The 26,844-nt window shown below is 33.8% G+C and overlaps 2 long non-coding RNA genes across 3 annotated transcripts in view; one reads left to right on the forward strand and one right to left on the reverse strand.

Annotated features, from left to right (window-relative positions):
* Positions 1 to 4,116: 4,116 nt before the first annotated feature.
* Positions 4,117 to 26,844, forward strand: part of LOC105372046 (uncharacterized) — a 32,680-nt gene continuing 9,952 nt past the window's right edge. Inside the window, exons 1-3 of one of the 2 annotated variants that reach the window (XR_935331.3) lie at positions 4,117 to 4,254; positions 5,011 to 5,137; positions 10,241 to 10,375. This is a non-coding gene — a long non-coding RNA (uncharacterized LOC105372046). Of the gene's footprint in view, positions 4,255 to 5,010; positions 5,138 to 10,240; positions 10,376 to 26,844 lie in introns of those variants that run through there. The other variant, XR_001753387.2, reaches the window with a different exon arrangement.
* Positions 12,462 to 26,844, reverse strand: part of LOC105372047 (uncharacterized) — a 61,121-nt gene continuing 46,738 nt past the window's right edge. Inside the window, exons 2-3 of the long non-coding RNA XR_935332.2 lie at positions 20,605 to 20,733; positions 12,462 to 12,896 (exon numbers count right to left, since the gene is read on the reverse strand). This is a non-coding gene — a long non-coding RNA (uncharacterized LOC105372047). The remainder of the gene's footprint in view (positions 12,897 to 20,604; positions 20,734 to 26,844) is intronic.

Below are 26,844 nucleotides of genomic sequence, written 5' to 3' on the forward strand. Positions count from 1 at the left end.
TGGCTGTAAAACCCTTAAGGAGTTGGTCTCTAACCTCAATGAGATAACCCACATCAAGTATATAAAGCACTTTGTACGATATTTGGAGATCGAACATAGTAAGTGTTTATTTAATAAGCTAACATGAGGAGTCTGAATTTGAAATATTCATTTCAGAAGCTTAGCATATAAATTGCAATCATAAGCATGAAGTTGGATAAAATGATCTAGGGAAAATGCATAGTATGAGAAGTAAAGGTTATTTTCCCCTTCATGGGTATTGTTTTCTTTTTTGTTCTTTCTTTTTTCAAAAAAATTGGTTTTTGCTTAATTCAGAAGTGAGTCAGTAAGACATTTAAAAGAATAGTTTTATGAATGTATATTGTGACTAACTTCCCCCAAATATTTGATACATTTAATTCACATCAAATATAATTTAAATCTTGGCCAAAAAACAGTTGAAATGTAAGTACATTTTGAACAATAAGAAAATTAGGAGTTACTGCATTATCAGGTGTTACTATAAAATGTAAAGTTTCAAAGAAATGAATTGATACTTACTTACAAAAGAATAGGCAGACCTATCAAAAGAAAGCCAGATATTCAGACCCTTTAATCAATGAGAAAGATGGTGCTAGGAAAATGAGTCAAACATTTGAATCAAAATCAAGTCCTTATAGCTATTTAAATACACATGTACACATACACTACTAACTTCTAGATGAGTTAAATAATATTTTAAGAATAAATAATAAAAGAATTAGAAGATGATACCAGTAGTCACCGTCTGTGTTGGCTTTGAGAGATCTCTTTTAATGAGAGATATTTCAAAGGAACTAACTATAAAGAAAGAGATTAGTAAGTATGACAACTTAAACATTTTAGAAACACCAATGACAAAATTGAAGTAGAAATATTATAAATGGATGACAGTATGTCAGTTTTATATATATATATATAACCTGTAACAGGCAATCAAAAATTTATGTACACAAATAACACAAACAGGCAATTTATGGAATAAAAACACTTTAGAAAAAATAGTAGAAAAAATGAAAACTTCATCAATATAATTTATTTCTCTTTGGCCAGAATATATGGTTTTTTAAAAGATGACCACATATATCCTTGTCAAAGGGTAGTGACAGTTGCACACTGCTACCCCAAAATGGTAAAAGACTTGATAGTCTTTGAGGGTCATTTGTGACACATTGTGTGAATTTTTAAAATGTCCTTCCAGCAATTAACATTTAAGAAATTCTCTTAAACAAATAATGCTTTATTCATATTCAAGTAATTATTTCACTCTAGTACGTTTGTGCGTGCATCCAATAGCAGGATTTGGTTATAGGTTTTATAGGGTAGGCTGTAGGTTATAGGTTAAGCTTTAGGTTTTTTTTGTTTGGTTTTTTTTTTTTTTTTTTTTTTTTTTTGAGACGGAGTCTCGCTCTGTCACCCAGGCTGGAGTGCAGTGGCGCGATCTCGGCTCACTACAAGCTCTGCCTCCCGCGTTCACGCTATTCTCCTACCTCAGCCTCCCGAGTAGCTGGGACTACAGGCGCCCGCCACCACGCCCGGCTAATGTTTTGCATTTTTAGTAGAGACAGGGTTTCACCGTGTTAGCCAGGATGGTCTGGATCTCCCGACCTCATGATCCACCCGCCTCGGCCTCCCAAAGTGCTGGGATTACAGGCGTGAGCCTCCGCGCCCGGCCAAGCTGTAGGTTTTATAAAGTATAATGGATGTCTAAATTGTCATTGTAATAATAAATTACCAGCCTAAATAAAGTTTTAGAAAAATTTAATAGCATTGAAAAATATTTATAATTGCTTAATGACAAAAGCAGTTGACAATATATTGTATATACTATTATGTTAATTTATAATGCATATTTTGAAAATGTGTGTATAAATTACACTTGTAGCTATTTCTTTATTTATAATTGTAAAAACTGCAGATATATATAGTTTTATATATATACACAAATGCATGTATGTATGTCTATGATGTATATATACACATTTTTCTATTATGATTTTCTTTGGGCAGTTAGATTATGGGTATAAAAAACTTATTTTTCTATTTTTTCAGAAAACCCATTCTTTCGGTAATCATGAAAATATAATAAAAACTTTAGACAAAAACCATACTTTAAAATCCTTTAACAGTTGTTATTTCTTGGCCACAGCCACTCTTCCAGAATTACATAGAAATTTAACACCTACTGGCCACGCACAGTGGCTCACATCTGTAATCCCAGCACTTTGCAAGGCCAAGGTGGGAGGATAGGTTGAGGCCACGCATTTGAAAGCAGCTTGGGCAGCATAGTGAGACTCTGTTTTTTTAAAAAATAATAAAGAAATATTAGCCCGGCATGGTGGTGACTGCCTGTAGTACCAGCTACTTGGTAGGCCAAGAAGGGAGGATCCATTGATTCCAGGACTTTGAGGCTGCAATGAGCTACGATCATGCTGCTACACTCCAGCCAGGATTACATAAAAAGATCCTGGATCAGGTTTTAAGTTTTGTTTATTGAGTAAAATCTGGATTATTAGAGACGGAAAAATTGATGTCAGTCCGATAATTATCTATAGGTTTTATATACATATTATATATATATATATATGATGAGAGGACATGTAAGGAGGAAAAAGATGATGGGGAAGGGTGATCTAGGAGAGCATTTTAGTGAGTTTGGCATGGAGTGAGATTTCTTGGGTCAACCATGTTGTTAATATTTTCAGTAAGAAAGATTGATGAAGAATGTTCTAAAAAAGGCTTTTAGAATGTACGTGAATACTACTCTTCTTTGGGATTTGACGGGAGTTCTAAGGAAGGTTAATAATTAGTTGGCTATTTAAATCATGTTTTAAAAATACAATCCTGGCTTTAGATAAGACTAGAAGAAAAATGAACACTGAACATTTTAGAAGTCTGGGGCATACTGTTGGCTGATGCTCCATACCTATTTTCCTTTCTTTCTTACAAAATTCTGCTATGGATCTAGTTAGTGTCCCACTCATCTGCTCCCCACCCAACCACCCCCAGCAAAATTGGGTGCATCTGAGGAAATTAACTTTACTGCCAGCTCTGCCAGCTCCATAGATGGAACCAATTGATTTAAAGATAAGCTCATTCCCAAGTGAATGACTTAGAAATGGATACGTAACCCATTCTCAGCCTAAAAGGTATCAATGAAAATGTACTGGATTTTCACGGAGAAAGTTTTATAGCTGCTAATAGAGACCAATGTAAAAAGTTGTGGTTCTTTCCTCTTCCTCTTTATTGTCAAGTCTTGTGAATTCTGAAATAAAGGTACTCATATGGCTACAAATCTGGGGATGAAGAGAGCACAGTAAATAACAGACAAGTAATTGAAAAGAATCAGGGATGTGGAGCACTCTCCTGGGTGCTCAATAACCAGCTTTAACATCAGTGGTACCTCTGCATTTCCTAAATATTTCTTTATTGTTAAATCAATATGAATGAAAGATTCTATTACTTGTAGCCAGAAGCTTCCTACTTGAATATAGTTTACATTTTGGAGGCTATAATTTGATGTCTTGAAGCTAAATTGCCACTGTTAGAATTAAAATCTAAAGGAATGTAATTTTACTGGACATGGTAAAATTTGGACTATTATTCAGCAACAATTCATTTTGCCCACCTCTCACCATAGAAGGGCTTGTTTGTTTGTTGTTGTTGTTGTGTGTGTGTGTGTGTTTAAGCTCATTGACTTGTTCTGCCACATAAGTGCTTGTTAAAGTCAAGGCCCCAGGAGACAGTGAACTTTTTTTTTATTTTAATTTTTATTTATTTATGTTTTTTGAGACGAAGTCTCGCTCTTGTGTCCCAGGCTGGACTGCAATGGCGGGATCCCGGCTCACTGCAACCTCCACCTCCCAGGTTCAGGCAATTCTCCTGCCTCAGCCTTCTGAGTAGCTGGGATTACAGGCCCCTGCCACCATGCCCTGCTAATTTTTGTATTTTTAGTAGAGACGGGGTTTCACCATGTTGGCCAGGCCGGTCTCAAACTCGTGACCTCAGGCGATCTGCCCACCTTGACCTCCCAAAGTGCTGGGATTACAGGCGTGAGCCACCACGCCCAAGACAGTGAACATTCTCTGTGCTTTCTAGGGCTTTTGCAATCACCATAGGAAGAAGATTCCACAGTAGCCTGTGATTCCAGAAGAATGAAAGACATGTGGAGCAGCTATGGACCAAGTTAACTAGAAGCCAACTTAGATTAGCCATTCTTCAGCCACAGACATGCAGGTGGGATATAAATGTGTATGCTGTGTGCTACTCAGTTTTGGAGTTGTTTGTTATAATGTATTAGTTTTTAGCTGACTGAGAGAACATCAATTATGTTGGTTTTAGAATAATACACAATTAAAAGACAATGACGGAAATCACTCTGAGATCAACACTATAATTGTGGAACTAGTGTGAAAAATGTGATTGGATGCATTTCTCTGAGAACCAAATATACCTCTTGGTTTCAGTTATTGAAAAAAGCCTAAAAAATCCATAGTGATATGAAGATTTAAAATAAATTTTAACATGTATACCTTGTTTCTTAAGAAACTAGTCTTTCTGGACAATGTGAACAATGATGTTAGACATTAAAATCTTGTAGGCTGGGCTCTTACTGTGCTATTTGAAATTTAAAATCTTTAGAATATGCTGTGGTTAAAAAGAACAAAAAATCCTGGAAAAATTTGGATATTTATTTTTCCATTGCCTGAAGAAATGGATGGAGAATCATGTTTAGAAATTGTTATGAAAATAAAATGATAACACACTTTGAAGGTAGAGAAAGGTCACCAGCTATGTGAGGCTCAATAGGCTGTGCCATTGATATTTTTTATGAACCCCAAACCACCAGAAATTCTAAATTCAGAGAGGATATACACACAGAGAGGATATACAGAAGGGCAAACTATTATTAAGTATATCAGTATGACTAAGATTCTTATGAAGGGTAGAAATACTCAGATTTAGTAACTCCTATAACCATTCCTCTTCCAGCACGTGGTTGGGTGCAGCTTGCAATCACAAATCAAAACGGAAGAGGAAGAGGACAACTGTATAAAGCAGCGTGATTTAAGTTGATCTGTGGGACAAAGAGTTAAGCCACAAATATTTGGGGAGAGAGGTAAGATAATTTTCTTGGTCAGATTTGTGAATGATTCGATAAGGATTGAAATGGAGATGAGGGGCCAGGCACAGTGACTCACACCTGTAACCCCAGCACTGTGGGAGGCTGAGGCAAGAGGATTATTTGAGCCCAGGAGTTCTAGACCAGCCTGAGCAGCATAGCAAGACCCTGTCTCTACAAAAAGTCTTTTTAAAAAATTTGGCCTGCCGGGGAGGCGCACTCCTGTAGTCCTACCTACACAAGATGCTAAGTAGGAGGGCTGCTTGAGCCCAGGGGTTTGAGGATGCATTGAGCTATGATACAGCACTGCACTCCAGCTTGTGTAACAGAGCTGGAATCTGTCATTAAAATTTTAAAAGTAATAAAAAATAAAAATTAAAAGAAACAGAAAGGAGCAGAAGACATTTTTCCTTAAATTCTAAGAACTATTACAAATTTACTCTCCTTGATATTTCAGTAAAATGTACATTGCTTTATATCATTTTTGATGCTGAACTGGTATTTTGGTGTTATTTTGATGAGTTAGATACACATAGATACGGGGCTTTATTGAAGTTACTTTTTTTGTTTGTTTGTTTTTTATTGAGATGGAGTCTCACTCTGTTGCCCAAGCTGGAGTGCAGTGGTGCAATCTCTACTCACTGCAACCTCCACCTCCCGGGTTCAAGCAATTCTCCTGCCTCAGCCTCCTGATTATGGTGTGCACCACCATGCCTGGCTAATTTTTGTATTTTTAATAAAGAATAGAGATTTCTAATGGGATTATAGGCGTGCACCACCACACCTGTCTATTTTTTGTATTTTTAATAGAGACGGGTTTCATCACATTGAAGTTACACATTTTTATATATGAAACTTTAATATTTTAAATAACAATATACAATTCAGTTAATAAAATGAGCTAAAATATTAGGGTGTTGAAGGCATAATTTCCTATATGTAACCAAGGTTATAATTAATTTGCAAAGGAGAAAACAGGAAATTTCCTTACTTTCCTTTCTAATCTAGTTCCTCTTCTGAACCAGATGCTGTCTTAAAACCTATACTTTTTCCTTTCTTCACTTATTTTACTCCTTATGTGTCCTCAACTTTCACATCCTTTAGACAGTAAAAATAGAAAGGTAAAATAGTTACAACTACAATTTATCTAAGATGTTTGTCATAGACATGTGGAGGAAAAGGCAAACTTAAAAATTATCATGTTGAAAATCTTGCAAGGAAAAAAATTAGAAATTAAATAACACATTGTACTTAATGGAAACCTTTCTCATAGTCATGACCTAGAAATGCTATAATGCCTGCTGTTTTTAAATGTTGAACTGGGAAGAAGTAAACAAAAAATATTCTCCTATAAACTGTTAAATTGTTTAAAAAATCTCTGAGATCCTCTGCTGTATATGTTAATATATAAAATGTATATAAATCACCATGTCAGAAATTAATGTTGCAAATAACAAGATAAAAGAGAATGATGTGGCACAGACAGAGCTCCGAAGCAAAAAGAGATTGTGAAGGAGAGGACAAAGATAATCAACAGAGAAAGCCAGCCATGCAGAGCAGTGAATCATCTTATCAGGATCCTCATCAATTCCTAGATCAAAAATACTGAACTTCTACTAGGTCTGATAAGAAAATGTGTATCAACCTGTTAAAACACACACACACAGGAACTAGGAATTTGAGAAACTCCATTTATTTATGGATGAAGCAAAAACACACTTACTTTGTTAATTAAACTAACTCGATTGCAGAATGGAATGAGAATCAACATCAGCATACTCTGTCGCATGCCTATTAGAGACAAAGATCTTTAGGTTTAAAAATGGGTTGGAAATATTTTTATTCCAGATCCCCCAAAAATGTTCTCTTTTTAAAAGCCATCTTCACTTGTTGTAAAATTCACAGAAACTCGTTTGATTTAGTTCTCACTCTACCTTAGGATCTTTTGTCCTCAATCCTAATAGTTTATCTCCTGAACTCTGGTCCATCTTACTTTTAAATGTTTGTAATGTTTGCTCCCAGGAATCTTAATCAGATTATCCAGAAATCCAGCCTAATCTCTTGCCCTGATCATTATCCATATGTGGCTTTTGTGGTAGAAATTCATCTAATCACTTTGACAAATAATTATCTTAGACATTAGCTTATTTAAAGTTTCCTTGCCATTATGTTAATCCATGCATAGTATTTCTAGGTAGAATTGGTGCTTATAAGAGAAAACAATTTTTAAAATGCCAGAGATGTCTTAACAGGTTATTGAAACTGAATTAGGTTGACACGGTGTGTTAGTCCATTTTGCATTGCTATAAAGAAATACTGAAAACTGGGTAATTTATTAAGAAAAGGGTTAGGTTCATGATTTTGCAGGCTATACAGGAAACATGGCACCAGAATCTGCTTCTGATGAGACTTCAGGAAGCTTCATCATGGTGGAAGGCAAAGGGGGAGCATGCATGTCACATGGGGAGAGAGAGAGAGAAAGAGAAGGGGGAGGTCCCAGACTCTTTTTATAAACAGATCTCCTCATAACTCATTACCATGGGGAGGGCACCAAGCCATTTATGAAGGATCTTCCCCGATGACCCAAACATTCCCCACCAGGCCCCACTTCCAACACTGGAAATCACCTTTCAACATGAAATATAGGGGACAATAATGATGTAGCATTTCATTCTATAAAAACACCAAGAATAATGAATTTTTTATTATTAAATTACAGAGTATCCTAAAATTGAAACTTAAGAAAAATTAAGGTGTAAAACACTGTAGATATCTTAGACATTGTTCTTCAAATTATATTTGTGTGTATTTACTTGGTATACATATGTAATGTTAATAGATTTTACACAAAGACACAAAACTAGATAAAGTATTCATTTGATTCTAATTATATATGGCTACTATAACAAAACAATAGCTATTTACAAAGCAGTGTTAACTATAACAATGTGTTGACTTGGATATCTCTCAGAGTCCATATAAAACTTGGCAATCAGCTTTGATTTGAATAGTCAATAGAATGTTGACATTTTAGAAATGTCTCATAAATCTATACTGTTTAACTTTTAGGTGCTCAGTTTCTTAAAGGTACCAATTGGTTGAAATGATAATTTCAATGACACATGCAATTAGTTTACTTTATTCTGTGTCCATACATTGAATTCTTAAGATTAGTCAAAGTTACGCACTAATCCATGACATAGCCATAAAGATAATAGGGCAAGACTGAAAACCCCTTGAGGGCAAGGACTATAATCTCATTCATGTATTTACTTCTCCATGTGCACGCAATGTCTAGAACAGGCAAATACTTGTTAAAGAGAGGTGAAGAAGTAAAATGTTCCTAACCATTCATGCATTTAACACATGTTTATATGACTAGAAACAAAAAAATCAAAGCTTGCTGATTTTGGTCAAGAAACCTTTTCTCATGAAGGAGTTCAAATATCCATGTCCATATTTAACCAATTTTTCAATTACCAGCTTGGTAATTTCAATAATGAATTGCAAAGCCAACATTATCAATAATGTAAAATATACACTTTTTAAAAATTAGTAAATTATACTACTTCTAAAGGCTATATTTTTAAACATTTTAAATAAAATTTGTTTTTAGGCCATAAATTGCAAAAGTATTCAATAGTATTCAATAATTTAAATTAAGAACCTAAAATTTTATATGCAGTGCATATTTTATTAGCAAATATTTAAAATGTAAACCTAAAAAAACCATTGCAAGGCATGTTGCAATATAAAATTTTAATAAATTCTCAGGGATACCAAGTTTTATTGAAACTTCTCCTATATGTGATGCATTTATTTGCTTAACTCAATAAGCATCACAATACCTAGGAATCTAATTCTTATTTTCATATGACACTATTCTTTCTGCAATGTAATTTGAGTTTTTTACTAAAACAGAAATATAGGTCAAAGTTTTAGGATATCTTCACATATTATGATTTTGAAAAAAGTATATTACAATATTACATTTTGAGGATAATAATTGGAAAAAAGTCTTAGAAACTAGCATACATGAAGGAAATTTACAGATAAAATTAATTTAATGCAATAAGGTATGTAAAAACTGTTTCATGACATTGATTCTTTCTGTAGCAATACAGAGGTCTTCGTGATCCAGGCTTGTTGGTGTCAGTTTGATCTTGGTTTTCCTGAGGCAATTTATGAGAGTGCTTCCACTTGCAAACTGTGAACAATTCATATTTCTGTCTCTATAAATCTTTGGAATAAGTTTCTCTATGTCTATTTTGGAGTTATCTTCTCTACTCATTCAATGATAATAGAAAATAATTAGCTTCCCTCAATACAATTATACCAAAGAACTAACACATTTTACACTTAGGAGGAAAAAATCAAAAGGAGTAAACTTTGAAAAAATGTAATAATTCACTAAAATTATATTTTTAGAAACATAAATAACACTCAGTTGTGGAAGTTGGTGATATAGTAAGATTTTTGCATATTACACAATCAGTTACTGCAGCTCAACATTTTCCAAGGCAATTCGATAAATTAAATGGTGTTGTTAGTCTGATGACCTGGGAACATTTAAAAATCTTTGCATACTACAGGTTTTGCTGTTACAGAGGGAAAATAATACCAGTAACAGAACTGATCACAGCAAAAGGCAATGGATGTTTTTAAATGTGCCACCAATTATTCAGAATATTTATATTTGCCACTTTTCAGTTTATAATGTCGTCTTTAAAAGGAAAAAAATATCCAAATCCATGATGTGTTTAGGTTAGTACAGCTCCACTGCTTATATGTATTAAAATGCTATCTAAAAAGGTTAGATACCAATCAGTATCCAACAGTACATATGATACAATTAAAGCATGTAAAACATTTAAGGAGCTATTATAGATTGCTTGGACAAATGTGTGCCTCCACAAATTCCAGACCATTAACAACTTGATCTGCCCTAGCTGCATCTGTAGCTACTTCTCCCCAAAGTGATGCTCTTAATTCTACCACCTTGAGTGACCAGTCACTTCCTAAGGAGACTAGGAACTCAACCTTGGTGGCTGCTGCTCTAGTCATATACCTTGACTTTCTGTCATCTCTTATCACTTCCAGATATTCAAACATCCCAACAACTTGGAGCAGCATGGGATTTCTAAAGAAGCTGACAAAGGAGAAAAGGCCCAAGAAAGCAACTCTGAATCAAAAAGCCATTAACTCTTTGAGAATGTCTTACTGGTCTTACTCTGACCAGTAAGAAAGAGTAGACAGAACAATAAAACTTTATCTTTTTTCCCTTATGTGCACTACTCTGGGACATTTTCTCTCAACTGCTTGTCCAGATATGTCCTGTGGCTCCCTATTAAGTGATGGCACCTGTTATACAGCTGCGTGTGAAGGAGTGGCCAGTAACACGTCACTTTGCATTACTTTCCATCCTCTGTTCTTCCTTTCCTTTTCCCTCACTTTTGCTGGCTGGGATTTTATCTCAAAATAAGATATTAGCTCTTAACCCTTGCCTAAGACTCTATTTTAGGATAGCATGGAATAAGATCGTGGATTATCTTTGAAATTATCCAGGCTATTTCTATTGAAAAAGACACTATTAAAATGACCATAGTAAGTAATGTATTAAGATGGGATTTTCTTTAGAAATGTTACCATAAATTCATATTTTGTTTTGATTTCCAAGTAGACTTACCAGTTTAACATAATGAAATTATCTAAATTAATTATGGCAAACACATTTTAAAAAGGTGAAATCTTGTGTGTGTGCATGCATGTGTATGCAAGTATACCATGTGTGTTAATTTGTTTTGTGTTACTACAAAGGAATACCTGAGACTGGGCAATTTACAAACAAATGAGGTTTATTTGGCTCATAGTTTTGCAGGCCATGTAGGCATGGTACCAGCATCTGCTTGGCTTCTGGTGAGGCCTCCAGTAGCTTATTCTCATGGTGGAGGGTAGACGGAGGTGGGGGGTCAGGGAGCAGGGCGGCAGCATGTCACATGGCATGAGAGAGCAAGAGAGAGTAGAGAGGTGCTACATACTTTTAAAAAACCAGGTTTCACGTGAACTCATTACCACTCATTCCTGTGGGGAGAGCACCAACCTATTCATGAGGGATCAGCCTGCATGACCCAATATTTCTCACTATAACTATGTAACATAATATCAATGAAAGAATATAAAAATATTTTATAAGCAGCAAAGAAAATAGTGGTTAAAAGTAGATTTTAATTTTAAGAATTCCCTGCATTACACACGTCGTACAACCAGAATGCAGTTCCACGCTATTTTAAATATGTGCCTAACTGAAAAAAATGTCTGCTAACTTCTAGTTTAGTCACAAAAATTTACTGTTCATCCATGTTTTCATTCATAATTTGACACTATACCATGCCATGAACTAATTTCCCAATATATATTCCAATCTTTGTTTTCAATTCATTGAGTTTTTGGTAGAATTGCAGACTTAATATTTGTATAAGTAAAATAACCAAATTTTGGAAAACATTTTTCTAGAGTTCTTAAGAGGATTTTTTTTCTTTTTAATAAACCCCAACAGAATATGACATTAAATTATTAGCCAAAAAATTCAGACATTTCAAATTTCAGAGGAAAACTAAATATAACTAATAAAAATACCAGATTTTAGGAAATTAAATTTAATTTAAAACTTTATTTTATAATTTGATTTGCAAAAATATATTGCTGATTCAAAGTTTTAATTGAGAATACTTGAAATATTGCTATTAACATGTATCATATAGGTAAATAAAATGCTTAATACGTTATCTTTTTATGTTAAGAAATATCTGGGGAAGAGATTTAAAATAAGTTGTTCATACAACACTGTCATTTGCCAACGTAAAGCTCTTTGTATTTTCTTTTATATATATTTTCTTACCTCCATTCCCCTCTGTTAAAGTTGAAAGGTACCACAGAGATCACGTATTTTAACAACCTCATTTTAAAGAAGAAGAATCAAAAGCATGAAGTCTAACTTGGTCAACATCACAGACCAGGTGACTGAATTTGGAAGTAAAACTCAGTCACCTGATCTGTGATCTGGTGCTCATTTCTTCCATAGGTGATGTTGAATAGTGTAGTGGTACAGTTTTCGAGCAGAAACATCTTTTTCTTGACATTTTACTGACAGTCATGTGTAGAAGAAGAATAATTTTTCTTCAAAACCCTGCCTCCCCAGTCATTGGTTCTTAGTTGGAAAGAACCCCGGTAACAAAAGACAGATTAAGAAGAGAAAAAAATTAGCATGTGTATTTTACATATACATGAATGACGTGCAGGAAATGAGTATTTCTCAAAGTAGTGGCTTTGAGTTCCAGTTTATATAGCATATTCAAGAAAGAACAGTAAATTTTTAGAGAATTGAGAAGACACAGTAAAAGAACTTTTAGTCTCTAGAGGATGCAACTTGTGGGAAGGCAAATAAATGGCAGGTAAAGACTATTAGGTGAAACTTGTTAAGGCAGGTGCCTCTGGTACCACCTCCAGAAGATATGTGTCTAAAGTTGTCTTTAGTGGTTAATCTCTGTTTTCCCTGTAAGTAGCAGGGAGGAGGGAATGCCAGGATCCCTTTTGTCTTTGAAAATCTACATTTTGCTTTTAGGCAAATAGAGGAGGTCAGAGAGCATTCCTGTATCTGCTGCTTTTTAATTGTCTTCAACTCAACAGTCCTTCATATCTTGAGGTGGCATATTCTGGTCTCTCACATATATAATTCTTTTGGCCCCAGATTTTTCATCTATAAAGTTAAGAAAGTTAAATTAGATAAAATACATTATCCTTTCAACTTTTTAAAGAGTGGCAAAAAAAATATCAAACTCTACTGTGTTTGCTTTTATTTATTTTTTATCTAAAATATTGAATCAATTCCAGTTTTGTGTAAAGGTAGTCCCCAAGTTATCCTATATAGTCACATTCTGTATTAACAAAATTTATTCCAATAGATCAGGCAAGAGTGGAACTATTTTCACTTTCCATGTCATAAGCACAAAATGTTCCTCAAAGTAAATTATCACTGATTTAGTGAATGATTAAAAAATATTTTTTATGAACCTCTTTATCTTCAGTCTCAGTCTGTGTATTAGGACACATTTGCATAAAAATCTGAAGAGTAAATCTTAATATTAACAGTTAATTGAATACTCATGATTAAAATTTTAATCCTAGAAAGTAATTAAATTTTCTTCTGTAATGATTTTTGATTGATTCTTTCTATAGCCACACTGAGAAAACGCTTAGATATTATTAAAGCTCTAAAAAAACAAGTGCATCTCCAGGAAGGCTGCCATTATTTTACTTATTGGCTATGCAGAGCCTAAAAACAATATATTGCCTTAATAACTTGTTTTGCTTTCCACATAACTGAAAAACATTTAAAATGTCTCTCCAACACTATGAAAAAAAAGAGATGGTATGATAGTTAATTTTATATGTCAAGTATTCTGGGATGTGGGTGCCCAGGTATTTGGTAAAACTCTATTCTGGGTATATCTGTGAGAATGCTTTGGACGAGATTAACATTTGAGTGGGTAGACTGAGTAAAGAAGATTGCCTTCCCTGAAGTGGGAGGTCTTCCTCCAATCAGTTCATGGCCTGAATAGAATAAAAAGGCTGGCCTTCCTTTGAGCAAGAAGGAACCCCTCCTGCCTAACTGCTTTGAGTTGGAACACTGGTATTTTCCTGCCTTTGGATTCCAGCTGAAATATTGGCTCTTCTTGGGTCCTGAGCCTCCAAACTTTCAGACTGGAACTTACACCACTCTCTCTCCTGGTTCTCAGGCCTTTGTTCTTGGTCTAGAACTACACCATTGGCTCTCTTGGGTCTCCAGCTTACCATCTGCAGATCTTGGGATTTCTCAGCCTCTGTAATCCAGCAAGCCAATGCTTTAAAGTAAATTTAGATAGATAGATAGATAGATGATAGAGATATATCCCACTGCTTTTAATTCTCTGAAGAATTCTGACTAGTACAGATGGTATGACTACCTCTTCCTGTGCTTATAAATCATGCTTATCTTTCCATAATGAGGAAAGCAAAAGAAGGCTTAATAAAACAACTGAAATATTTAAGGAAGAATGCTGATCACAATATTAGAAAAATCTGAAAAGTAAATGGAAAATTGAAAAGCAGAGTATTATTTAAAGAACAAAAGATTTAATGTCTGTATTGAGAGAACTAAAAATAATAATGCAAATAAAAACAATTAAGGAACAAGAAATGAAGGGAACATAAAGACCTCTCTACCTTTTCTATATGCACTGTGGAATGAGTACACATATAAGTCAAAGGACAGAGTAGTAGGAAGAGATTATTTAAAAGATGCTAACTGTATCTTCATCAGGAACATGTGTAAGATTTGCTTACTCCGAGATTTGGATATTGACAGGGACCTTGTAAATTTATAAAAATTTAAATTGTGGCTAACTGTAAATCAATTATGAATTGTTTTGTTTCAACGTATTGTTATTTGAAATAGCATATTTAGCATTACTTGTGGCTAGTGAATGACTATAAATGGACTCTTTATGGGAGCCTACATCTTCCCTGTTATTGTAACTTTATGACATCTCTTATGTCCTTATCTCCACATATATCAAAGAAACTGGAAATAAAATACCTTCTTTAATGAATTAGCCCAATAATTCTAAAAGGCATTAAAAATTATGAAGAAACAAAGCTGTATCCAAAGTCAAATAGTGAATTTTCCACAAATAGAAATCATGCCTGTTATTAAATGGTAATGATCAAAGAAATAACAATGACAGTATGGAATAATATAGCTTTTTAAAAAATAAGATTTGCCAGCAATAAAAACAAATTGGGAAGAAAATACCATCTTAAATGTTCAACATAAGAAGTGAATGTAGGAAAATATTTATTATTTTATGTAGAAAAAGATAATAGAAAATATGTAAAAACGCATTGCTCATCTTATCTAACGTCCCATTCATCACATAAGAGAGCATGAAGTAAAACTATGGGATTAGAAGAAAATGTGATGAAAATTAACATTTATTGAGCACATTTTCTGTAACAAGTGTTAATATATTTTACTCTTTTTAATCCTCCTGGCCATCACATAAGATATCCATATTTTTTAGATAAGCAAAGTTAGGCTGTATAGCTTCTCTCATCTCAATTCTTAAAAAAAGGGGGGGGGGTGTGTGCAGAGATGTATAAAAGTCAAGGTACTCCTTAACTTTAAATGTTAGTTTTTACCATGATGTCTATGAAAGCAAAATTGAATATTGTTTAGAAAAGTAACAAAAACTTTCCATTCATCAGAAAAATAAGCAAAATATCCATGAATTAAAGACTATTATTGATAACAAAACAAAAAATATTATTTAATCAAAATGCTTACAGGCGCGCGCACACACACACACACAAACAAGTCCTATAAAGATTGATAAATGAATTTTTCCAGTAAAGAACTGTAAATAGTGACATGTATTCAGGAAGCAGTCAATGTAATGAAAGATCTGAGAAAGTTGGTGTGGAATCATCAGGTTTACAAAATGTATGAGGTGAAGGTAGTGATATAGTTCAGGAGATGTATTTAGCAGTAAGTGGAATAGAGTCGTAAGGTCTATGACTTTGCAGTTTGGAATTTTGCTAAAGCACCTATTTGAATTACTCACACTGATGTGTTGAATGAGTCGCTTTGCCTTCTAAATTATTTCAGTAATGCATTTATAAAATCATTAAGAATCCAAAGGGGTCGCTCAGGAGCTTCATGTTTTACTGAATTTTATGAGAGAAATTACATTCTATAATGGTATCAGGGGTTTTAAAGATTCATGAAATTATCACTACAGGTCTCTTGAGGAGAATGTAAGTGGTCCAGTGTAAATGAAATGACACATCTTTGAACTGGGGCTCTGAACTCTTAGTTGACAGCAAGGAAATCAGGCCAGATTGGTTTCTCAAGATAGTGGCCTAACATTATACTTCAACAAAAAAGATCACTTAAGTGATGAACAATGAAAAACTATCAGGTAGGAGAAACAGGACCCATTATTTTAGCCTTCTAGAATATTGATATCTTTGCACTTTATACTGGGTACAATTTTGAATACTCCTCCTCACTAGAGAAACAGGAATTTCTGATATTCAGCAGAAACTTTCCTTACATTATCATCACTTAGCATTATGAGTTAGTATAGGTAATCTCATTGCTTACATTAATGTAAATAATTATACATTAATCCTCATGTCAATTCTATCCGGCAAGTATTCATTTTATTTATTTATTTACTTAACTTCTTAATAATTTAAAGGTAAAAAACCTGAGACTAAGAAAAGTGAAGTAAGTCAGACGTAGTGGCTCACGCCTGTAATCCCAGCACTCTGGTAAGCCGAGGTGGATGGATCGCTTGGGCTCAGGAGTTTGAGGCCAGCCTGGGCAACAAGGTGAAATCTTATCGGTATGAAAACAATAAATAAATAAATAAATAAATAAATAAATACATATTACAAAAATTAGCCAGGCATGGTGGCAGGCACCTGTAATCCCAGCTACTCTGGGGGCTGAGGTAGGAGGATCACTTAAGCCCAGGAGGTTGAGGCTACAGTGAGCCGTGTTTATACCACCACAGTCCAGCCTCGGTGATAGAGTGAGATAAAGAAAAAAAAAAGAAAGAAAGAGAAAGAAAGAAAGAAAAGTGAAATAATTTACTGAAAACTTACTTTGTTATGCAGTCAGCATATTATAATGGGCCATATCCAACAAAAAGGGGCCTCTTAAAGTATTGAAGGAGGATTGGTAACATGAATGATGTTATAAATCATGAAAGTTGAGGATAATTATAAACATAAAATCATTAAAAGCCATTGACTACTGATAGAGATAAATTTATTGTAAAATCATGTGTTTAAAAAAATATTCTAGAAAGTCAGGATGATCTATTAACTCCCAATGTGATACATAACTACATTAGAGATATTATTAGACAAAATTGTGGATAACAGTTATTTACAGGACAAGCCTCCTATTTTTTTGAAAGTGACACAAATAAAAACATGTATTTGAAGACAGGTTTTATTATCATTCGGAGATAGAATGTCACGTGCATGTGAAGGATTGGCAAACACTATTATGATAATCAGGAAATTTGATGACCTTAGTAGGTATAGAATAAAGAGATCCACTTTACATTGCAAAGTTTGTAAAAATACATTTCTTTCACCCCATAACCATTTGTTAGATTTCCTACTAAATGCTAAGTACCTGGCTAGGTGCTTAGACAAAAATGTTGAAGAAGATGCAGTACCTTCTCTCAGTTTCTTAATGTCTGTTGGGGAGTTAGACAAGTTGTAATGTGCTTTTAGTAGCATGGACCACATTCAGAAAAGGTAAGAAGGGCACAGAAATCAGTTTTGGATGGGCAATAATAATAATAATAATAATAATAATAATAATAATAATAAAAACTTCATAAAGAAGCTAATGTGTAAATTTTTACCTTCATCCATTAGTTAAACAAATATTGGTTGGGAGCCTAATATTCACCAGGGATGAGTCTAAGAACTGGAGATAAAACAGTGAACAACTGTTTTACACTGTTCATTTTTATTGCAAAATGCATATAAAGAGGAATAAGGTAATTAAAACTCTAAAATAGAAATTAGCAAAATGGATTTAAAAACATTGATAAAAAGTATAATAGACCAAATAGCTGGTTCTATGAGAAGACTGATTAGTTTGAAAAAGACTCCAGCAAGACTGACCAAAGGCTAAAAGGCGAGAAAGTAGAAAAATACAGAATCAATAAAAAAGGAGAAATATTTATAAAGACAGTATTACCAAAATAATACAAAAATATTAAGAATGTATAAATGCTGAAATTGTGAAAACCTAGGTAAAGTGGATACATTTCCACAAAAAATACTGCAATGAATCCTTGTTAATTTTGGCTATATAGCATGTGAACCTCCTTCCCTATGTTCAGTATAGCCCCTACCTGATTGCTCTAAAGACAAAAGTGCATGGAGAAATATTCTACTGATAAGGAAAGTCCAAAGGCAGGAAAGAATGAGCAGGAATATGTGGAGGCATAAATAGCATGACTGAGAATTGAATGAAAGTATAGCAGTGACAAATTATGAAGGGTATTATAAACTATTTTAATTTTTTTTATTTTTTTTCTGGCATCAACAGTCTTTAAAAGGTTTTCAGGAAAATTGGATCATCATGTTGATAATGATGATATTGATAATTTCTAACTTTTAAAAGTCATTTTTATGTACCAGAAATTGGGTATTAAGTGTCTTTTATTTATTTATTTATTTATTTATTTGAGAACAGGGTCTTGTTCTGTTGCCCAGGCTGTAGTATAGTGGTGTGATCACAGCTCACTGCAGCCAGGAACTCCAGGGCTCAAGTGATCCTCCTACCACAGCCTCCCAAGTAGCTGGGAGTACAGGCATGAGCCACTGTGCTTGGCCTGGTACTAAGTGCTTTGTGTGAACTATCTCAATTAACCCTCACAAGAACTCAATAAAATTGATAGAACAAGTATCTGAATTTTAAAGGTAAGGGAACACATGATCAAACTTGACAAGTTCATGCATTTAGATAATTTCAGAAAAGCATACCTTATAGAAAGATAATTTGAGCTTCACTGTGGAGAATAGCTTAGATTGGGACTGGATTGATGACACATAGTCAAGTTATGAGATATATTATAGTCAGAAGATGAAGGTGACCTTGAATAAGGTAACCACAGCATATATAAAAATAAAAAAGTAGATATCAACATATTTATACTTCAGAGGTGATAAGACTAAAAATTAAATTGGATAAATGTAAGGCAGAGAAAGAAATCAAGGGGAATTTCCAAGTATTGGCTTGCACAGAGTTGTATGCCTCTGATATTAAGAGTGCTGTGGAGGAACATAGTTAAGGTACTTATCACAAATTTGTTTATTATTTATATACTATTGTTATTATTTTTTGTAGAGACAGGGTCTAGCTCTTTCCCAGGCTGCAGTGCAGTGGCACAATTATATCTCTCTGCAACCTTGAACTCCTAGGCTCAAGTGATCCTACCACCTCAGTCTCCTGAGTAGCTGGGACAACAGGCATGTGCCACCATGCCTGGCTAATTTAATTTTTTATAGAAACCGTGTCTCACTATGTTGTCCAGGCTAGTCTTGAACTCCTGGCCTCTGGCCATCCTCCCACTTTGGCCTTAAAAGTGTTGGAATTACAGGCATGAGCCACCACATTTGGCCTCAAATTTGAAGTACGACTATGGCATTTATTACATGTATTCAGTAAGTATCTGGATTAAGCCCAGTTTAAGATATGTTTCGTTTTAATTGAAATTCTTGTTAAGAAGTTGAAAGTAACAAATCTGAACTTCAAAGAAAAGAATCAGAGATATCTGTGAGTCATCACTATTTTAATAAGTAATTGCTATGAGGAGAATAACTGACATTATTAAAGCAGAATGCATAACAAACAAGAGACCTTATATCGAACATCAGAGGAACTTAAACATTTACCTGTTATATGGAAGAAAAAAAAATAATACAATTGGTGATGGAGCACAAAGAAGAAAATCCAAACTGGATGATGCCATGGAAACCAAATAAGGGTAATTTTGGAGAGAAAGGCATTATGGGTAAATGTTATAGAGACTTGTATGGTGAGGAACTTTTAAAAATTGTCCATTGGATTTGACAAAAAGGTGACCTGTTTGTGATGTTCTTTAGAGTAATTGCTATGGAAAATGTCATGAGGAAACCTAAATTGTTATAGCTTGAAAGTGAAGGAGCAATGTGAATTTGGACACATCATGTAGAGATGATTCTTTCAAGAGGATTCAACATAAAAAAGAGAATAAGACAAGAGGAAAATAAGTGTTTTTGTTTGGAGATGTACTATCTTAAAGAAAGGACTTGACGATTAAATGCTGTTTGAAATGAACCAGTAGAAAGGGGATAGTCGAAGATACAAGATAATGGTGCAATTTGTCTGTGGCTCTCAAAGCATTAGAAATCAATGGAGTCCTGAGAAAAATTTAAAGTGTTCATCTTTGACAGAATGCAAGACATCTCTTTTATTGTGAGGCAAGATTATATGTGACACTGTGTGAAAATGTAAAGGCAGAGTGGCAGGTCACGTGCGAGTGTTCATTTGAAGGCTTGTGGTCTCTGTGAGCTATAAGGGAGGCTGGATTATTGCATGGAAAGAGGTAGGAGAGGTTAAAAGAATGTTGAAAATGTCTGAACTGGCTTTCTTGGTAATGATAATCTTTACTGGGGGAGACAGAATTGTAACAGGCTACCAATTTACAGATAAATCAATTTCTGATATGCCAGAGAATGTCTGGGAAACAGGTGGGAGAAGTCTGCTATAAGACTATTTTTAATAGGGGAAATCACCTTCTGAGACAAAAGTTATCCCAAGGGGGAAAAAGGGTTAATCATGATTATCTCACCTCAATAAAAGTAATTCAATACATTCCAGGAGAAAAGAGTAGTAATGCTGGGTAAAGCTTGGTTCATACATAATCTTACTGTTTTTGTTTGTTTTCTTGCTCAGTTTCTGTGGAACATACAGTTAAAACCTGCATGAAACAAATAACATATAAGTAAAAACTGAAAAAATAGTTTCATTTAAAATATTTGAAAGATATCTGGACACCAAAATCACAGAACTGATATCTCCCAATGAACATATAACACATACAAAGAAAAGAAAATTACTTCATCCACTGCCTATAAGAAGCTTCTGCACTTCAACCCTCCTAATTCTCAGTTGTAACAGGTATCCAATGGATACTCACTGAGTAGTGCACAGTAAGACTAGATTTAATAATAGGACAGGCTGAAAGATCAATAGATATTTGGGGAATGAACACTACAGGAGATGGCAAAATCTTTTGCTTGAAGGTGAGGTCAAAAGTCATGACACTGGAATTAGCACTTTTCCGTAACATTGTATTCACAGGAAAATTTGGAGAATACACATTTCCTAAAAATATATAGATGAATTAATTGAGATTCTGGACCATGAATTTTCAATCACCTTATCCACACTGTTTCTGTTTTGTTATGAGCAAGAAAGGCAACACAGATAGATGAATTCAGACATAGGTTTTCTGCTTGGGTAAGTTTTCAGGAAAATGAGATACCTCTGTAAAGTAGTTGGCTTTCTTTATTTCTTAGATACTGCCCAAGATCAAATTGTTAATGGTAAGGAGGCACCAGTGTTACCAGTGATGGGTCGGAACTGGCAGTCAGTCGCAGTGATCCATAGCAACTTTGCTTCTTGCCTCGTCAGAGGAAAGAACTCAGCCCAGGCAGAAGTAGATTTAAGGCAAAGGTAAAGGTTTATTGGAAAAACAAACAAACAAAAACAGCAGAGTACACTTGGAAGAGGGCCAAGCAGGAGACTAGAGAGGTCAAGTGCTCCATCCAGCCTTTAACTTGGGATTTTTATACATTGGCTGGTTTCGGGTTTTACCTTTCTCTTCCTTTGATCCCTATCTTGGGATGGGCTGTCTGAGTGTGCAGGGGCCGGCTAGCGCTCGGGAGGGGCTGCACGCCAGTGTGCTTACTGAACTTATGCACACGCTCTCTTGAGCATTTCCAGAGAAAGATTACATACTAGTCAAACTCGGCCATTTTCTCTTTTAGTGCACATTCTTGAGTGTTCTTGCCTGACTTTTAAGATTTTATCAGGGAGCTTTTACCTCCAAACCTCAGATGTTCCCTGTTGATCAGGCAGCTATCCTTCCTTGAGGATGGTTGTGACCACTTAGCAGGCCACCTGACAATGGCTTCTCACTGACAGTAGCCTGACATTCCTGGGGACTTACCCTGCCTGGCTCATTTCTATCTACCTACCCTAACATCAGGAGGTGGCTACAAATATGTCAGTGTAAATTTTTATCCCTGACAGGAAAATAAATGAGGTATCAATCCTACAGATGGTGGATCAGTATTATTTGGGTAAATAAGGCAGAGTTCATGAGAGTTATACCTGAACATTTCTCGCTTACCCCTAGCATATCTTAAAATCCTTGAACATACTCCAGACTGGGCGACAAGAGCAAGGCTCCATCTCAAAAAAAAGAAAAAATCCTTCAACATTAATTTTTTGAGTTAGGATTTTTGGTAAAAGAGAATTTATTTTATTCATCCCTTCATCACCTACATACCTACCATATTAATCAATGTATGATTTAAATTCAATGCTCTAAAAATAAATTATTAATTTAGACTAAAAAACATATTTATGAGTGATACCATACTTTACTTGTATAGCAAAATGGTTACTTTCAGGACACTTCTGAACCTCTTAACTCTAGAATAGACTTTGAGGTAGATAAAAAGAGCATTATGAATCACAAATGCTTGATAGTGTTAAACATATGAATATATGAAAATATTGTTTGCAAAGTTAAGAAATATAATGAATACATTATTATAGTCTATACTGTTTTATAAGCTATTTTATGTGTTTCTTCTGAGCTTTCAAACATTCAAGTACACATTTAAAATACAAATTCTTTTATATCCAATTCATTCTTTGGTAGTCACCAATGTGAAAATTGAAAAGAAGTCTTATTTTTAAAGGCATTTCAATAATGATTATATGCAAATAATGTGTATATGTTAACAACATTTACATATGTAAAATGTAATTATTTCCTTGTGTTAGATAATAATATGAGTTTTTTTTGCAAATTTATATATTTGGTTTGCTGCATTACCAAATAACTCATTGAATGCTTACTCTATTAGGGAATAAAGCAGAAAATAAAATCATAAGACTAAACTACCAATTTTCATTTTGAAAAATGAGCTAAGTCACATAAAACTGCCTTCCTCAAATTTTCTGTAAAATACAGAATGATCATTTAGTTTAAACAATACTAAATTACATAAGCATTCAAGTCATTTAAAAATAGTTCTACAATCTTTAAAATTCTAGAATAGCTGTTATCTGTGGATCCAAGATATGTGGTTCAGTGCTTCTTTTCAACCTGAGTGAAGAGAAAAAAATAAAAGATCTTGTGTGTATTACAAATATTGAAAAAACTATTAGTGATATCAACTTTTCTTATTCTTTGTCTATATACTAATCTTTATGAAGCATGTATATGTATATATATGCTACATGTGCTAATTTCTATTAATACATTCGAACCGTCACATAGTTCAATACTTCTGTGTGTTTTAAAAATACATATAAATTTCCATATTACCTTTCAGAAGGAGGACCATTTTTGTCTGCCTTCATCTGTATGATGGCATATATTTGCAGACCTGGTATTGATTTATATACTGAAAGTTTTATTTCTGTAAGATCTATATTTTTTGAAACTCCAAAATTGACACAGAGATAGTGTGGGCAGGGCAGTCAGTCTATACCCATTCTACCCATGTACTTGGGCTACTTTTGCTATACATTCTTTTCTTTTAACTAAGGATATTAACAGGGAACATTGACCTATAAATTTCTAACTCTCTTGGAGTTTCCTTTAGTATTTGATTCCTCTAGTATTTCTTCAAAACTAAGAAAGATAGATAAGAAGATGAGAGAGAGAGAGAGAGAGAATATTGCAAATAGACTCAGGAATTTCTCGGTTGTACAGAATTATTGGATCATAATAAGTAGTGACAGGGAGAAATGGAAAATGGGAATGGAAAGGAAGATTGGTTTAGAATAGATTATTTTAAGGAATTTTAAATAATAATAACCATCATCATCCTTAAAAATTTATCAAGTACATACTAAACACTCTTTAAAATACTGTAAATATAATCTCTCTATTATTACTCTAGCAAATTAAACATAAACTTTGGTTTTAATTGGATATTATCTTCCAAATTAAAAATTAAAAGACTTATATAATGTACTAAAGTTATACTTCCTGTAAACTGTGAATTTAGGGTCTGAATCTTAAATTCTAGTTACTAAGGTGATGTCTTAAGCATTCTGATATACTGCTTCTCTTGGTCCAAATAACCGTAATATTATCTTGCACTGTCTTTACTACTATTCCTTTTCTTTTATCCTCTTTCTACTCCCACTCCTCTTTCCTCTTTGAACACCTAAGTCCTGAAAACTTAAACTGAGAGCCAAAAGACAGTCCTTGAAATGTGATTATCAGAGGACTGAAGCTATCAGACCAAAGCTAATATTTAGCACAATATATGAAAAGGTATTTGTAACCTATTTATGTGTATCTATATCATATTTGAAACCTATCTCTAGACACCACCAAAGCACAATCTTGGATACATAGTTGTGTGAGTGATATGTACTTAGAAACAGATGCTCTATTAATACTGTGGTTTTCCTGATTTTAACCTAAAAGCCATATCCACTGCTATTTTTCTTTTTAAACTTTTTCATTTAGATAATATACAGAATCTATTTTCTATGTCTTTGTTCAGAGGCCATGCTTATTATTACCCCTAATTATTTCCCTGTGTGGCTTTAAATTGAAATTGCTTCTATAATTACTTTCCCCTGAAATTTCTATGGTAAGGTTTAGCAACTAAATGTGAATGCCTTCTAAATGAAGACATTTGATCAGGGCTGTAAGTTGATTTATTTATATCTAATCACCAAGCAGGTAAAAAGATTTCAGTTTTGCAAAGTTTAAACATTTCAAATAGCCCTGTCATCTCTTTTTATTCATTTATTCATGATTCAAAGAATCCTAACAAAGTCATTTGGGAATGTTTGATTCTGTGTGGTATGTTGTTACCATAGCGATTCTGTTGGTTTTAATAATTGATATAAAGTTTTAAATGAAGTGTTTAATTGTGTTTGCAGATAGTTTCCTGAGCCATAAATAGCTAACACTCAAAATCCTCTTTCATTATAATTGACATTAGGTAATCAACTTGTACATTTTCATTGAAATGAGGCACAGGCAGCACGGTGCCAGGAAGGTCATAACAACTCAAAAAAAACAAGAGAACATTTCAGGTCAATACAATTCACAGAGGGCAAATAGAAACTCTGCTTACTGCCTTACCATGGCTATGTATCTAATAATTATTTCCTTGAATTAGATTCAATTCAAAAGACAGCATGGATGTCTGCATACAATTCTAAGTATTCTTCCTACTTATAAAAGCAGGCTACGCTTACTGTTTCAATTGTTACTTTCAGGTCATAGATATGAAAATAAGGGTTGAAGGAACTCCAGTGCCATTTGTCAAATGGTATCCGAAAGAACGACTATTTCTTAAATAAATGAATACTGTACTTATGAAGTTCACTGTTCTCATTGTATTTACCCATGAAAGTTATTTGTCATGTACTGAATAATCTGAGATTTATAAAATATGTAATATTTTAACTTTAGCCTTTATTGCATGACTCAGTTTTCATAGAAGTCTGCCTATAGTTTTGGCAGACTGAAAAAGCTATGTACTTGAAAATGACCGGATTTTTATATTTAGGATTTTAATCATTTTACTAAAAACGAGTATATTACTTATCAAAATAGATGATATACGGAGGTAGTGCATTATCAGTCAATTTTAGAAACACTGATTATTTGATTTCATAATTGGAAATAAGAGAGAATTAAAATAATATGTTTGAGTAGGGAGAAACGGGTGACAACATGGGGCCAATGGTAAAATCAGGATGGTTTCCTCTTAAATTGTCAGTATTAATAAATGCAAATCTTTAAAATTCTATGTGTTTATGTAAAAGGCAAAGGCTGTGTTTCTAAAATACAACAAATATAACATTTTTATGTAAAATGATTATCTCTAATTTTATGAAAACTGTCTCCTAGAAAATGGGCTCAACTTGTAATAAGATGCTTTACTCTTTGAGGACAAACCCGTGAATACTCTAGAATGTCTGACTCTGGGACCATTGAAGCAATATGGATTCCTCATTTGTCTTGAATATGTATTTGGAGTATTCACCAATTACTATAGATATTGATGCTCCAAAGTATGTAAATATAACTAAGCAACTTATTTCCATATGGACATTTTTCAGAAATATATCTAACGTTATCACAAATTAAGATCCTTTAATCCATTTCCCATGTAGAAAAAAAAGTGCAGCTTGCTGCAAGTGGTTATTTAATTTGCGTAAACATGCTCTTTGAGGATGAAGCAAATGTGACTGATATTCAATATGAAAATAAAATAGTAAAATTGTTCTTGGAGTTATTTCTAGACAGAACTAACATCAAAATCGTCTGAATCATAAGAATTACCTATTTTGGAAAATTCAGATCCATCAAATGAAGTTTCGACCAACAACTGTTGTAGAATGATGTTAACATCATGCATAAGAAAGCTGTTTTCTAGGATTTGACATTTTCAGCCATCAAGAATCACTATATTTTATAAACGGTAACACCACTACTAAAAACAGAATGCTATAAATTGAATGATGTCTTTTGTTTCCAAAGTTGATATACTCGAGCAATGTGAAAATAATAATAAAATGAGATATTGTGTGGCAAAGTTATCTCAGGGTAAATGCTGCAGCCGCAAGTGCCGCCGGTGAGTATTCTCCGGGAAAAAGAGAAAACGGTTAAAAATCATTTGTGAATAGTAAATAGTAAGTCCTTTTTATTAGATATTAGAGAAAATGGTGAAGTTGTATATAACACACCCTTAATATTACTATGGCAGTCATTGCAGGTAGACTCATCAAATGCAGTCATAAAAGATGCGCAAAT

The sequence above is a fragment of the Homo sapiens genome, chromosome 18, assembly GCF_000001405.40.
Source record: "Homo sapiens chromosome 18, GRCh38.p14 Primary Assembly".
Classification (NCBI taxonomy): Eukaryota; Metazoa; Chordata; class Mammalia; order Primates; family Hominidae; genus Homo; species Homo sapiens.